Source organism: Homo sapiens, chromosome 14 (genome assembly GCF_000001405.40).
Source record: "Homo sapiens chromosome 14, GRCh38.p14 Primary Assembly".
NCBI lineage: Eukaryota > Metazoa > Chordata > Mammalia > Primates > Hominidae > Homo > Homo sapiens.
In genome coordinates, this window is record NC_000014.9 from 43492294 (window position 1) to 43506450 (window position 14157).

Sequence of the window (14157 nt, forward strand, 5' to 3'; positions counted from 1 at the left end):
AGGGAGTGCCAGACAGTGGGTGCAGGTCAGTGGGTGTGCGCACCGTGCGCGAGCCGAAGCAGGGCGAGGCATTGCCTCACTTGGGAAGCGCAAGGGGTCAGGGAGTTCCCTTTCCCAGTCAAAGAAAGGGGTGACAGACGCACCTGGAAAATCGGGTCACTCCCACCCAAATACTGCGCTTTTCCGACAGGCTTAAAAAACGGCGCACCACGAGATTATATCCCACACCTGGCTCGGAGGGTCCTACACCCAGGGAGTCTCACTGATTGCTAGCACAACAGTCTGAGATCAAACTGCAAAGCGGCAGCCAGGCTGGGGGAGGGGCGCCCGCCATTGCCCAGGCTTGATTAGGTAAACAAAGCAGCCTGGAAGCTCCAACTGGGCGGAGCCCACCACAGCTCAAGGAGGCCTGCCTGCCTCTGTAGGCTCCACCTCTGGGGTCAGGGCACAGACAAACAAAAAGACAGCAGTAACCTCTGCAGACTTAAATGTCCCTGTCTCACAGCTTTGAAGAGAGCAGTGGTTCTCCCAGTACGCAGCTGGAGATCTGAGAACCTGCAGACTGCCTCCTCAAGTGGGTCCCTGATCCCTCACCCCTGAGCAGCCTAACTGGGAGGCACCCCCCCAGCAGGGGCACACTGACACCTCACATGGCAGGGTATTCCAACAGACCTGCAGCTGAGGGTCCTGTCTGTTAGAAGGAAAACTAACAAACAGAAAGGACATCCACACCAAAAACCCATCTGTACATCACCATCATCAAAGACCAAAAGTAGATAAAACCACAAAGATGGGGAAAAAACAGAACAGAAAAACTGGAAACTCTAAAACGCAGAGTGCCTCTCCTCCTCCAAAGGAACGCAGTTCCTCACCAGCAACGGAACAAAGCTGGATGGAGAATGACTTTGACGAGCTGAGAGAAGAAGGCTTCAGACGATCAAATTACTCTGAGCTAAGGGACGACATTCAAATCAAAGGCAAAGAAGTTGAAAACTTTGGAAAAAATTTAGAAGAATGTATAACTAGAATAACCAATATAGAGAAGTGCTTAAAGGAGCTGATGGAGCTGAAAACCAAGGCTCCAGAACTACGTGAAGAATGCAGAAGCCTCAGGAGCCGATGGGATCAACTGGAAGAAAGGGTATCAGCGATGGAAGATGAAATGAATGAAATGAAGCGAGAAGGGAAGTTTAGAAAAAAAGAATAAAAAGAAACGAGCAAAGCCTCCAAGAAATATGGGACTATGTGAAAAGACCAAATCTACGTCTGATTGGTGTACCTGAAAGTGATGGGGAGAATGGAACCAAGCTGGAAAACACTCTGCAGGATATTATCCAGGAGAACTTCCCCAATCTAGCAAGGCAGGCCAACGTTCAGATTAAGGAAATACAGAGAACACCACAAAGATACTCCTCGAGAAGAGCAACTCCAAGACACATAATTGTCAGATTCACAAAAGTTGCAATGAAGGAAAAAATGTTAAGGGCAGCCAGAGAGAAAGGTCGGGTTACCCTCAAAGGAAAGCCCAACAGACTAACAGCAGATCTCTCGACAGAAACCCTACAAGCCAGAAGAGAGTGGGGGCCAATATTCAACATTCTTAAAGACAAGAATTTTCAACCCAGAATTTCATATCCAGCCAAACTAAGCTTCATAAGTGAAGGAGAAATAAAATACTTTACAGACAAGCAAATGCTGAGAGATTTTGTCACCACCAGGCCTGCCCTAAAAGAGCTCCTGAAGGAAGCGCTAAACATGGAAAGGAACAACCGGTACCAGCCACTGCAAAATCATGCCAAAATGTAAAGACCATCGAGACTAGGAAGAAACTGCATCAACTAACGAGCAAAATCAACAGCTAACATCATCATGACAGGATCAAATTCACACATAACAATATTAACTTTAAATATAAATGGACTAAATGCTCCAATTAAAAGACACAGACTGGCAAATTGGATAGTCAAGACCCATCAGTGTGCTGTATTCAGGAAACCCATCTCATGTGCAGAGACACACATAGGCTCAAAATAAAAGGATGGAGGAAGATCTACCAAGCAAATGGAAAACAAAAAAAGGCAGGGGTTGCAATCCTAGTCTCAGATAAAACAGACTTTAAACCAACAAAGATCAAAAGAGACAAGGCCATTACATAATGGTAAAGGGATCAATTCAACAAGAAGAACTAACTATCCTAAATATATATGCACCCAATACAGGAGCACCAAGATTCATAAAGCAAGTCCTGAGTGACCTACAAAGAGACTTAGACTCCCACACATTAATAATGGGAGACTTTAACACCCCACTGTCAACATTAGACAGATCAACGAGACAGAAAGTCAACAAGGATACCCAGGAATTGAACTCAGCCCTGCACCAAGCGGACCTAATAGACATCTACAGAACTCTCCACCCCAAATCAACAGAATATACATTTTTTTTAGCACTGCACCACACCACACCTATTCCAAAATTGACCACATACTTGGAAGTAAAGCTCTCCTCAGCAAATGTAAAAGAACAGAAATTATAACAAACTATCTCTCAGACCACAGTGCAATCAAACTAGAACTCAGGATTAAGAATCTCACTCAAAACCGCTCAACTACATGGAAACTGAACAACCTGCTCCTGAATGACTACTGGGTACATAACGAAATGAAGGCAGAAATAAAGATGTTCTTTGAAACCAGTGAGAACAAAGACACAACATACCAGAATCTCTGGGACGCATTCAAAGCAGTGTGTAGAGGGAAATTTATAGCACTAAATGCCCACAAGAGAAAGCAGGAAAGATCCAAAATTGACACCCTAACATCACAATTAAAAGAACTAGAAAAGCAAGAGCAAACACATTCAAAAGCTAGCAGAAGGCAAGAAATAACTAAGATCAGAGCAGAACTGAAGGAAACAGAGACACAAAAAACCCTTCAAAAGATTAATCAATCCAGGAGCTGGTTTTTTGAAAGGATCAACAAAATTGATAGACTGCTAGCAAGACTAATAAAGAAAAAAAGAGAGAAGAATCTAATAGACACAATAAAAAATGATAAAGGGGATATCACCACTGATCCCACAGAAATACAAACTACCATCAGCGAATATTACAAACACCTCTATGCAAATAAACTAGAAAATCTAGAAGAAATGGATAAATTCCTGGACACATACACTCTCCCAAGACTAAACCAGGAAGAAGTTGAATCTCTGAATAGACCAATAACAGGAGCTGAAATTGTGGCAATAATCAATAGCTTACCAACCAAAAGAGTCCAGGACCAGATGGATTCACAGCTGAATTCTACCAGAGGTACAAGGAGGAACTGGTACCATTCCTTCTGAAACTATTCCAATCAATACAAAAAGAGGGAATCCTCCCTAACTCATTTTATGAGGCCAGCATCATTCTGATACCAAAGCCAGGCAGAGACACAACAAAAAAAGAGAATTTTAGACCAATATCCTTGATGAACATTGATGCAAAAATCCTCAATAAAATACTGGCAAACTGAATCCAGCAGCACATCAAAAAGCTTATCCACCATGATCAAGTGGGCTTCATCCCTGGGATGCAAGGCTGGTTCAATATACGCAAATCAATAAATGGAATCCAGCATATAAACAGAGCCAAAGACAAAAACCACATGATTATCTCAATAGATGCAGAAAAAGCCTTTGACAAAATTCAACAACCCTTCATGCTAAAAACTCTCAATAAATTAGGCATTGATGGGACATATTTCAAAATAATAAGAGCTATCTATGACAAACCCACAGCCAATATCATACTGAATGGGCAAAAACTGGAAGCATTCCCTTTGAAAACTGGCACAAGACAGGGATGCCCTCTCTCACCACTCCTTTTCAACATAGTGTTGGAAGTTCTGGCCAGGGCAATTAGGCAGGAGAAGGAAATAAAGGGTATTCAATTAGGAAAAGAGGAAGTCAAATTGTCCCTGTTTGCAGACGACATGATTGTATATCTAGAAAACCCCATTGTCTCAGCCCAAAATCTCCTGAAGCTGATAAGCAACTTCAGCAAAGTCTCAGGATGCAAAATCAATGTACAACAATCACAAGCATTCTTATACACCAGCAACAGACAAACAGAGAGCCAAATCATGAGTGAACTCCCATTCACAATTGCTCCAAAGAGAATAAAATACCTAGGAATCCAACTTACAAGGGATGTGAAGGACCTCTTCAAGGAGAACTACAAACCACTGCTCAAGGAAATAAAAGAGGATACAAACAAATGGAAGAACATTCCATGCTCATGGTTAGGAAGAATCAATATCGTGAAAATAGCCATACTGCCCAAGGTAATTTACAGATTCAATGCCATCCCCATCAAGCTACCAATGACTTTCTTCACAGAATTGGAAAAAACTACTTTAAAGTTCATATGGAACCAAAAAAGAGGCGGCATCGCCAAGTCAATCCTAAGCCAAAAGAACAAAGCTGGAGGCATCACACTACCTGACTTCAAACTATACTACAAGGCTACAGTAACCAAAACAGCATGGTACTGGTACCAAAACAGAGATATAGATCAATGGAACAGAACAGAGCCCTCAGAAATAACGCCGCATATCTACAACCATCTGATCTTTGACAAACCTGAGAAAAACAAGCAATGGGGAAAGGATTCCCTATTTAATAAATGGTGCTGGGAAAACTGGCTAGCCATATGTAGAAAGCTGAAACTGGATCCCTTCCTTACACCTTATACAAAAATCAATTCATGATGGATTAAAGACTTAAACGTTAAACCTAAAACCATAAAAACCCTAGAAGAAAACCTAGGCATTACCATTCAGGACATAGGCATGGGCAAGGACTTCATGTCTAAAACACCAAAAGCAATGGCAACAAAAGACAAAATTGACAAATGGGATCTAATTAAACTAAAGAGCTTCTGCACAGCAAAAGAAACTACCATCAGAGTGAACAGGCAACCTACAAAATGGGAGAAAATTTTCGCAACCTACTCATCTGACAAAGGGCTAATATCCACAATCTACAATGAACTCAAACAAATTTACAAGAAAAAAACAAACAACCCCATCAAAAAGTGGGCAAAGGACATGAACAGACACTTCTCAAAAGAAGACATTTATGCAGCCAAAAAACACATGAAAAAATGCTCATCATCACTGGCCATCAGAGAAATGCAAATCAAAACCACAATGAGATACCATCTCATGCCACTTAGAATGGCAATCATTAAAAAGTCAGGAAACAACAGGTGCTGGAGAGGATGTGGAGAAATAGGAACACTTTTACACTGTTGGTGGGACTGTAAACTAGTTCAGCCATTGTGGAAGTCAGTGTGGCGATTCCTCAGGGATATAGAACTGGAAATACCATTTGACCCAGCCATCCTATTACTGGGTATATACCCAAAGGACTATAAATCATGCTGCTATAAAGACACATGCACACGTATGTTTATTGCGGCATTATTCACAATAGCAAAGACTTGGAACCAACCCAAATGTCCAACAATGATAGACTGGATTAAGAAAATGTGGCACATATACACCATGGAATACTATGCAGCCATAAAAAATGATGAGTTCACGTCCTTTGTAGGGACATGGATGAAATTGGAAAACATCATTCTCAGTAAACTATCCCAAGAACAAAAAACCAAACACCGCATATTCTCACTCATAGGTGGGCATTGAACAATGAGATCACATGGACACAGGAAGGGGAATATCACACTCTGGGGACTGTTGTGGGGTGGGGGGAGGGGGGAGGGATAGCATTGGGAGATATAGCTAATGCTAGATGACGAGTTAGTGGGTGCAGTGCACCAGCATGGCACATGTATACATATGTAACTAACCTGCACAATGTGCACATGTACCCTAAAACTTAAAGTATAATAAAAAATAAATAAATAAAATAAAATAAAATAAATGACAAAAAAAAAAAAAGAAAAAAAAAGAAAACTGACACAAGACAAGGATGCCCTACCTCACCACTCCTATTCAACATAATTTTGGAAGTTGTGGCCAGGGCAATCAGGAAAGAGAAAGAAATAAAGGGTATTTAAATAGGAAAAGGTAAAGTCAGTCTTTGTTTGCAGATGACATGATTCTATGTCTAGAAAACCCTATCATCTCAGCCCAAAAGCTTCTAAAGCTGATAAACAACTTCAGCAAAGTCTCAGCATACAAAATCAATGTGCTAAAATTGCAAGCATTCCTATACACCAACAACTGGCAAGGAGAGAGCAAAATGATGAATGAACTCCCATTCACAATTACTACAAAAATAATAAAATACATAGAAATACAGCTAACAAGAAAGGTGAAGGACCTCTTCTAGGATAACTACACACCACTCTCAAAGAAATCAGAAGTGAAACAAACAAATGGAAAAACATTTCATGCTCATTGATAGGAAGAATCAATATCGTGAAAATGATTATACTATCCAAAGCAATTTATATATTCAATGCTATTCCCATTAAACTATCATTGACATTCTTCACAGAATTAGAAAAACCTATTTTAAAATTCATATGAAATCAAATAAGAGCCCAAATAGCCAAGACAATTCTAAGCAAAAAGAACAAAGCTGGGCCCATCATGCTGCCTGAATTTAAACTATACTAAAAGGCAACAATAACCAAAACAACATGGTACTGGTATAACAACAGATACGTAGACTAATGGAACAGAATAGAGAACTCAGAAGTAAGACTGCACAACTACAGATATTAGATCTTTGACAAACCTTACAAAAAAAAGCTATGGGGAAAAGATTCTCTATTTCATAAGCGGTGCTGGGAGAACTGGCCTGCCATATGCATAAAACTGAAAGTCAACCCCTTCCTTAAACCAAATACAAAAATTAACTCAAGATTGATTAAAGCCTTAAATGTAAAACCCCAAACTATGAAAACTCTAGAAGAAAACCTAGGCAATACCATTTAGGATATTTTCATGAGCAAGTATTTTATGACAAAAACCCAAAAAGCAATTGCAACAAAAGCAAAAATTGACACATGGAATCTAATTCAACTACAGAGCTTGTGCCCATCAAAAGAAGCTATCATCAGCGTGAACAGACAACCTATAGAATGGGAGAAAATTTTTGCAACCTATCCATCTGACAAAGGTCTAATATCCAGAGTCTACAAGGAACTTAAACCAATTTACAAGAAAAAAACAAACAACTGCATTAAGAAGTGAGCAAAGGACATGAACAGACAATTCTCAAAAAAAGGCATACATGTGGCCAACAAACAGATGAAAAAAAGCTCAACATCTCTGATCATTAGGTAAATGCAAATCAAAACTACAGTGATATACCATCTCACACCAGTCAGAATGGCTATTTCTGAAAAGTCAAAAACAACAGATTCTGGCAAGCTTTCAGAGAAAATGAAATGCTTTAACACTGTTGGTGGGAGTGTAAATTAATTCAACCATTGTGGAAGACACTGTGGCAATTCCTCAAAGACCTAAAGGCAGAAATACCATTTGACCTAGCAATACTATTATGGGCATATACTCACAGGAATATAAATAATTCTATTATAAAGATACATGCAAGTGTATATTCATGCAGTGCTATTCACAATAGCAAAGACATGGAATAAACCTAAATGCCCATAAATGATAGACTGGATATAGAAAATGTGGTACATATACATCATGGAATACTATGTGGCCATAAAAAGGAACGAGATCATGTCCTTTGCAGAGACATGGATGGAGTTGGAAGCCATTATCCTCAGCAAACTAATGCAGAAACAGATAAACACCATATGTTCTAATAATTGGGAGGTGAATGATAAAAACACATGGACGCATTGGAGGTAACAACACACACTGAGGCTTGTTGGAGTCCATGGGGGAGGGTTAGCATCAGGAAGAATAGCTAATGGATGTTGGGCTATCACCTAGGTGATAGGATGATCTGTGCAGCAAACGAATATGGCAAACATTTACCTATGTAACAAACCCGCACATCCTGCACGTGTACCCCCGAATTTAAAACAAAAGTTAAAGAAATATATAAATTATATAGACCTGTAGGTATTTTTCTGTAACCCCAATGATCAGATAAAGCAAGGACACAGTTTAAGTTCAAAAGTATAGAGCAAAAATTTGGATATTACTATATAGCACAGAAAAAATTTTCAATATTCTTGTTTCTAGTCTTCTTCCTCTCTCTACTAATAGCATTATATTGAGCAAAACCCATGCAGGAAAATTTTGAACAAACACTTCATAAAGGGAGATACTCAAATGGCCAATAAGCACATGAAAAATTTGATCAATATCATTAGTTACCAGAGATGAAAAGCTAAAACCATAATGATTTAACATTACACACAACCTGAATGATAATTTTAAAATATTGACGACACTGAATTGTGTTTGTAGAGCAACTGAAACACTCACAAACTGCTGATAGAAGCATATATCTACTTTGAAAATCAGTTTGATACCTTCTTCAAACTATGATACATGAGTTTTATTTATCAAAGATAAATAAAAACATGACCACAGAAAGCCTTAGACAAAGAATTTTCATAGTAGCTTTATTTGTAGCAAGCAAAATCTGCAAATACCCAACAATAGCTATTCATCATCAGGGAAACTGATAAACTATGACATATTTATAAAATATAATTTTACTAAGGAACAGAAAGGAAGAAACTATTGATCTGTGTAAAAATACAGATGCCAGGATTTTGCTGAGAGTCATTTTGGTGAAAAATAGAACAAAATATACTGTCTGATTCTATTTATAAGAAGCTCTGGATTAGACAATAGAAATCTATGATGATAGGAAAAATATCTGAGAGCAGGAAGTATGGAAACTTGACTGGAAGCTGCATAAGGAAACAATAAAAATTCTACATTTTGATAAGGGTGTGATTATATGGCCTTATTAATTTTTTAAAACCCACTGAACTATAGAATTATCTATGTATTTTATCATATTTATATATCAATAAGATGAATTACTGAAAAAACCCGCAAGTCAGCAGCTTAAAATATACATCATTTTTAATTAAAATAAACAAATTGAACTACTATTAGATTCGGTTTGGGCTCTAAATTGATATTAATCCTTGGAGACTTTCTTGGCCATTATTAAATTGACTAGCATGGTTGTAACTATGAATTGTGAGTCCACATTGCTTTCTCATCCCTTATAGGTGGCATCACTTCTTCATCCCTTTTAAGAGCCATCATTTCTTAAAAGGAAGTCCTCCAATAAACAGGATAAGGGAGTAGACATTCTCCATGTTCACAAATACATCAGCACAAATCCAATTTCATTAACCTTATCCTTTTCTGTATTCAGAATGTTCAAGCAATTAAATATTGAAAATATTTATAAACGATGATTTATTTGAACGATTGCAATGACAGGGTTAGTTAGACAAGCTATGAGGTGTCATTTCTATTTAAAGCCTGTCCATGATGTTATAAGATTATGTACCCATCAGTCCACCAAGTTTTCTGTAGTATAATCAACAAGTAATTTATAATATATCTTATAATTTATTTTATCAGTGTATTTTATTTTTCTCCAACTTTATATGATAATTATATCATTCCCTTAAATATTATTTTATAACTATTAAACTTACATATCACCTAAAAGGGATAGAATGTTATAGACATCAGGTTATTCGGTAATTATTAAATGTGTCAGTTTAAATGTAAGTGGTTAGTTCATAAAAACATACATATGTAGCAGTCTGATTACTGAGAGATATAATTATTATATTTTATATACGTGTAGGAAATGTTAATCCAGAAAGTGTGGTTTTTAAAATGATACCTGGGAGCCAAGAACTGGGTTTTAGATTTTGTTATATGGAAGATAAACTTAAAGATGAAAATCTGCTATATTTCAAGTGATGCATAAGGCCACTTCCAAATTGCAAATTAAAAATGGCATCAGAAAGCAACTCCCTGAAGCAAAATGATCTGAAATCCATGATAGCAAAAGTAACAGGTTTCTTCTGTCTGTCAGTAAATTCATAACAAAGGCATGGGAAGGCAAACTAATCACAGCAGAGCTAAACTACAGGATAATTTGTTCTTACAGGAACTTGATTTAACATTTTACCATTTTCCAAAGAGCATGATTCAGAATGGTCATATTTCAAGTTCTAGGAGAGTCCATGAGGTATCTTTATCTCTTAACACATACAATGATATACATTCTTTCTTTGTCATTATTATTTTTGTTTCTAGCTAGAAATATAGTGTTTGTATCTAAAAGCTTCTATCAGTCCACAACATGTAAAGTAAAACTCTTACTTTTATCTGCTCTTAAGGTATTCCTGTTGGCAGTTGTAGTTTAACGTATGTTTCTAGTTTGTACTGGGAATTTTTAATAAAACATAAAATGATATTTCATACACATAAAATACATATGTATGTATGCTGATACAAGTACACATTAATATGTATATTTCAAAATATGTGTTGATTTGTACACTGAGGAGGGACCTATTTTTGTCTCTGCATGAAAAACATAATGATGTGCTTAAGGATTGTGGAAGAGGAGACTGGAGAGGAGCGGAGGGGAGGGGAGGGGAGAGGAGAGGAGGAGAGGAGAGGAGAGGAGAGGAGATTATTTATGAAGAGCCAAGATGCCTTCCTACAGGGCAAGAACAAAAACCTCATTACCTTTCTCCTGAAATTTGCATCTATTTAAACACCTGAGGGTCAACCGCAAAGCTCAGTAGAAAAAATGAGTCCCCTGACATAAAATCAAGATATAAAGATAAAAGAAATAAAACCCACGGACTTGTTCCTAAGAGACAGGCTAACAGTTGTGACTATAAATTTATATCTACAATGTGGTTGACACTGGAATCTAGCAGAGTCAAACCTTCCTGTGAGAATTTAGACTTAAATGTCATCTAGTTTGAAATGTAAGCCCAGGTTTTGTATAAAAGATTCTAGGCTGATCCTACCACTATATGGGTGGTAGGAAGAATTTTTTTCTTAAATTTTGCACTTTGAAACACTGTAAAGGTACTAAACATTTACAGTTGGAAAAAACTCAAACTCAAAATTTGAGTTGTTTTCCAAGCTCAAAGGTGGGACTAAGAGTGACTGATTTTGTGGATAAGACTCAGAATTCAGTTGTCTTCATGAATCATGATAGGAAGGGGAAAACCAGGAGGATAGGACAACATTATAGGATAAGTGAGACTGTGAATCAAGATGTGTAATTCTAGTTAAAAACAAAAACAAACAAAACCAACACAAAACCTGCAAACAAAAAAGCAAAAAAAAATGTGACTATCTTTTGGAGTGCAAACTGGCATAGTAGGATACATAATACTGATAAATTAACAGAAGCTTCCTAAATTCCTGAAGTATATATGCAATGCATATAATCTATCTTATCCAACAGGTGGCTCCAAAGACTCATTTGACTTTTCTTGTAATGCAAAAAAATCTGAGTATGGAGCATTGTAAACTTTAATATACTTGACAACCAAGCCCTGAGTTTAATAAAGGGCATGAGATAACCAAATAAAGAAAAGCTTCCTTTCTGGAATCAGATGCTGTTACTGGAGTGTGAGTGGCAATAATAATTATCACTAGTCAGCTGAAATCACAGAAGTTTATGTTCCACAATAATGCAAAATAAAGAAGAAGTTAAAGATGAGTTTTAAAAGTTAACCTCAAAGTCACTGGAGATGAATAAGCTGTTACACTTAATTAAAAAAAAAAAAAAAAACCCTTGCCATAAAGTGCCTATGTTCCTTTAGCTACATGATATGTGTGTTAATTAATAATCAAAGTTCAGCCTGAAGGAAATTTGGTACAGTAATTTGTTAAAGTAAAAGTGAATTTGAAATGTGCTATCAATTCTAATTGAGTTATAAAAAAAAATCCCCAGGAAGAAGATTTTTTTTAAATAGTTTTAAGTTAAAACAAAAAAAACTTTCAAAAAGGAAGTAACACTGACTGGGGAATAGTTTTATGAAACATATTCTAGAACTTTAGTTTTCTAAGATATTGTGATCAACATAAAACGATGTTTTTCAGGAAAATCATTATCAGTTAATGGCAGATAATGGCATAATGTAGGCTAAAATCAGGTGAAGAGTGATAGCATCAGGATTTACTCATCTGAACGGTTTCTCTTTCCCTCAAGGGTCAGATAAATTGGACTAACTTCTGAAACACAGTATTATCTGAAATGCTATCAGCAGTTACCTTTGTATAGATAATTCAACTGCATAAGAATTATTTTGTACTTATACTGTGTTCAGGATTATCTCAAGTGATATAATGAGGAGTAAAAAAAGTATACAATTTTGTCCATTCAAGAAGATTATATTCTTCTTGAGAAAAAGCAGCGTGCAAATATAAAGCCAGTAGCTAATGATAGAAAAATATGTCATGTTTCTAAATTGTTGGTTCAAATTGTTAGAGTAGGTTACAGTATTTGCTGCTCTCATTGTCAATAAGTAAGACAGACGTTGGTCTGAAAAAATGGAAATTATTCAAATGCTAGAAGAGTAGGGCATATGAGAAATAGTGGATAAAAACATTCATCACAAAGAAGAAAATGAATAAATTATGTAAAATAATTCCCCTGGCCTGATGAACTTCTTTCACTGGGAAAAATGAGAATGCACTTTTGAAAGGGAATTTTTTAAATTCTTTAAAAGCCAATTTCAGCAGCTTCTCCAATAGAGTAGCTTCTGAAAAAGTACATGGCCATAAAATAGGAGTAATTTAGGTATTTTCAACCTGTCTGGATATTACTTTAAAGCTAAAGATTCTGTATAGCTAGGTACCCTAATGAACCTTGTAATAATGAACCTATTCCTCTTTCTGTGCAATCCCTTCCCACATCAAATAGGGTTGACCTATATAACAAATAGAGCATTGCAAAAATGACAATGTGTGATTCTGAGACCAGGTAATCCAAGGCATTGTGGCTACTTTATGCTCTAAGGAATCACTCTCTGTGGGATATCATGAGGATACTCAAGCAGTCTTTTGGAAAGGCCCGTGTAATGTGAAAATGTCACTGTGTGTCAAGAGCCAGCAAGGAACTGGGCCTTCCTCTTAGCTATTTGTGAAAACCTTCTAGAGAATGGTTCTACAGTCTAGTCCAGACCTCAATTGACTGCAGCTCCAGTTGACATCTGTGCTACATCCTTATGAAAGAACCTGAGATAGAATCACCCAGCTAAGTCATTTCCAAGTACCGTACCCTCAGAAATTATGAAATAGTAAATGTGTAATTGTTTAAGTTGCTAGTTGTGGGTAATTTGTTATGCAGCAGTAGATAACAAATACAAAAGCCTTACTCTTAAGTAGTAGTGGTAAATGAATGCAAAAAGAAAATAAGAAACTTCCAACACTCTATGTTTAGTCTACTAAATATTCTAAATGCTTTCTGACAATCAAATAATTTTTCCTTATTAAAATATTGATTCTAAAGCCTGATGAATTTAGACATGTGAATACACATGTTAATTATACATCTTCTCTAATTAATACAAATATTTCCCCTGTATAGGTTCAATTAGGAGATTAAATATGGAGTTATTAAGAATTATCTATCATCAAAATTAAAGATGTCAATGAGCCATTATCAGTATGATCAGCATATTCCAAGAGCATCTGAGCGAGTCGTTTATACTATTTTGACTAAGTTAAACTTTGTTGATCTTAGGTAAATGATAACCTGATGTTCTAAAAATCTCTAATACTGAACTAGCTTCATTGTTACCTTTGGAAAAATATGACTCTTCTTTATTTTGAGACAGAGTAATGTGCTGCTTGAGCAGGTGTTGAATTCTGGAGGGGATGAAAATATGCTTAACTCAGAAATTATTTTACTTATTAAAATTCCCTTTCACTGACATTTATTGTAGTTTTGTCAGAATAACTTCAGTGCTGACAAGTTTTAAATAGCATGGAATCTGCTATTAGAGGATTTGGAAATTCTGAATAGAAAATTAAAACATTGCAAGTTTTACCAGGAGTTTTCATGTTTTACTTCAAAGTCTTATTCGTTTAATCAACCTGATTCTCACTTGTGAGGGAGTTGAGCTGCTTTCAATTTTACATTAGTTTTGATTATGTGCTTTCAAGCAGAAGGATGATAAGAAGAGCAATAAAATAA

General features: G+C 36.7%; 1 annotated feature.

Annotated features, from left to right (window-relative positions):
- Positions 231–811: an enhancer, noted in NCBI's record as "H3K27ac-H3K4me1 hESC enhancer chr14:43961727-43962307 (GRCh37/hg19 assembly coordinates)". NCBI's record gives its function as "activates a minimal SCP1, AML or CMV promoter by ChIP-STARR-seq in naive H9 embryonic stem cells {active_cell/tissue: H9 hESC(naive)}" and the evidence as "EXISTENCE:reporter gene assay evidence [ECO:0000049][PMID:30033119]".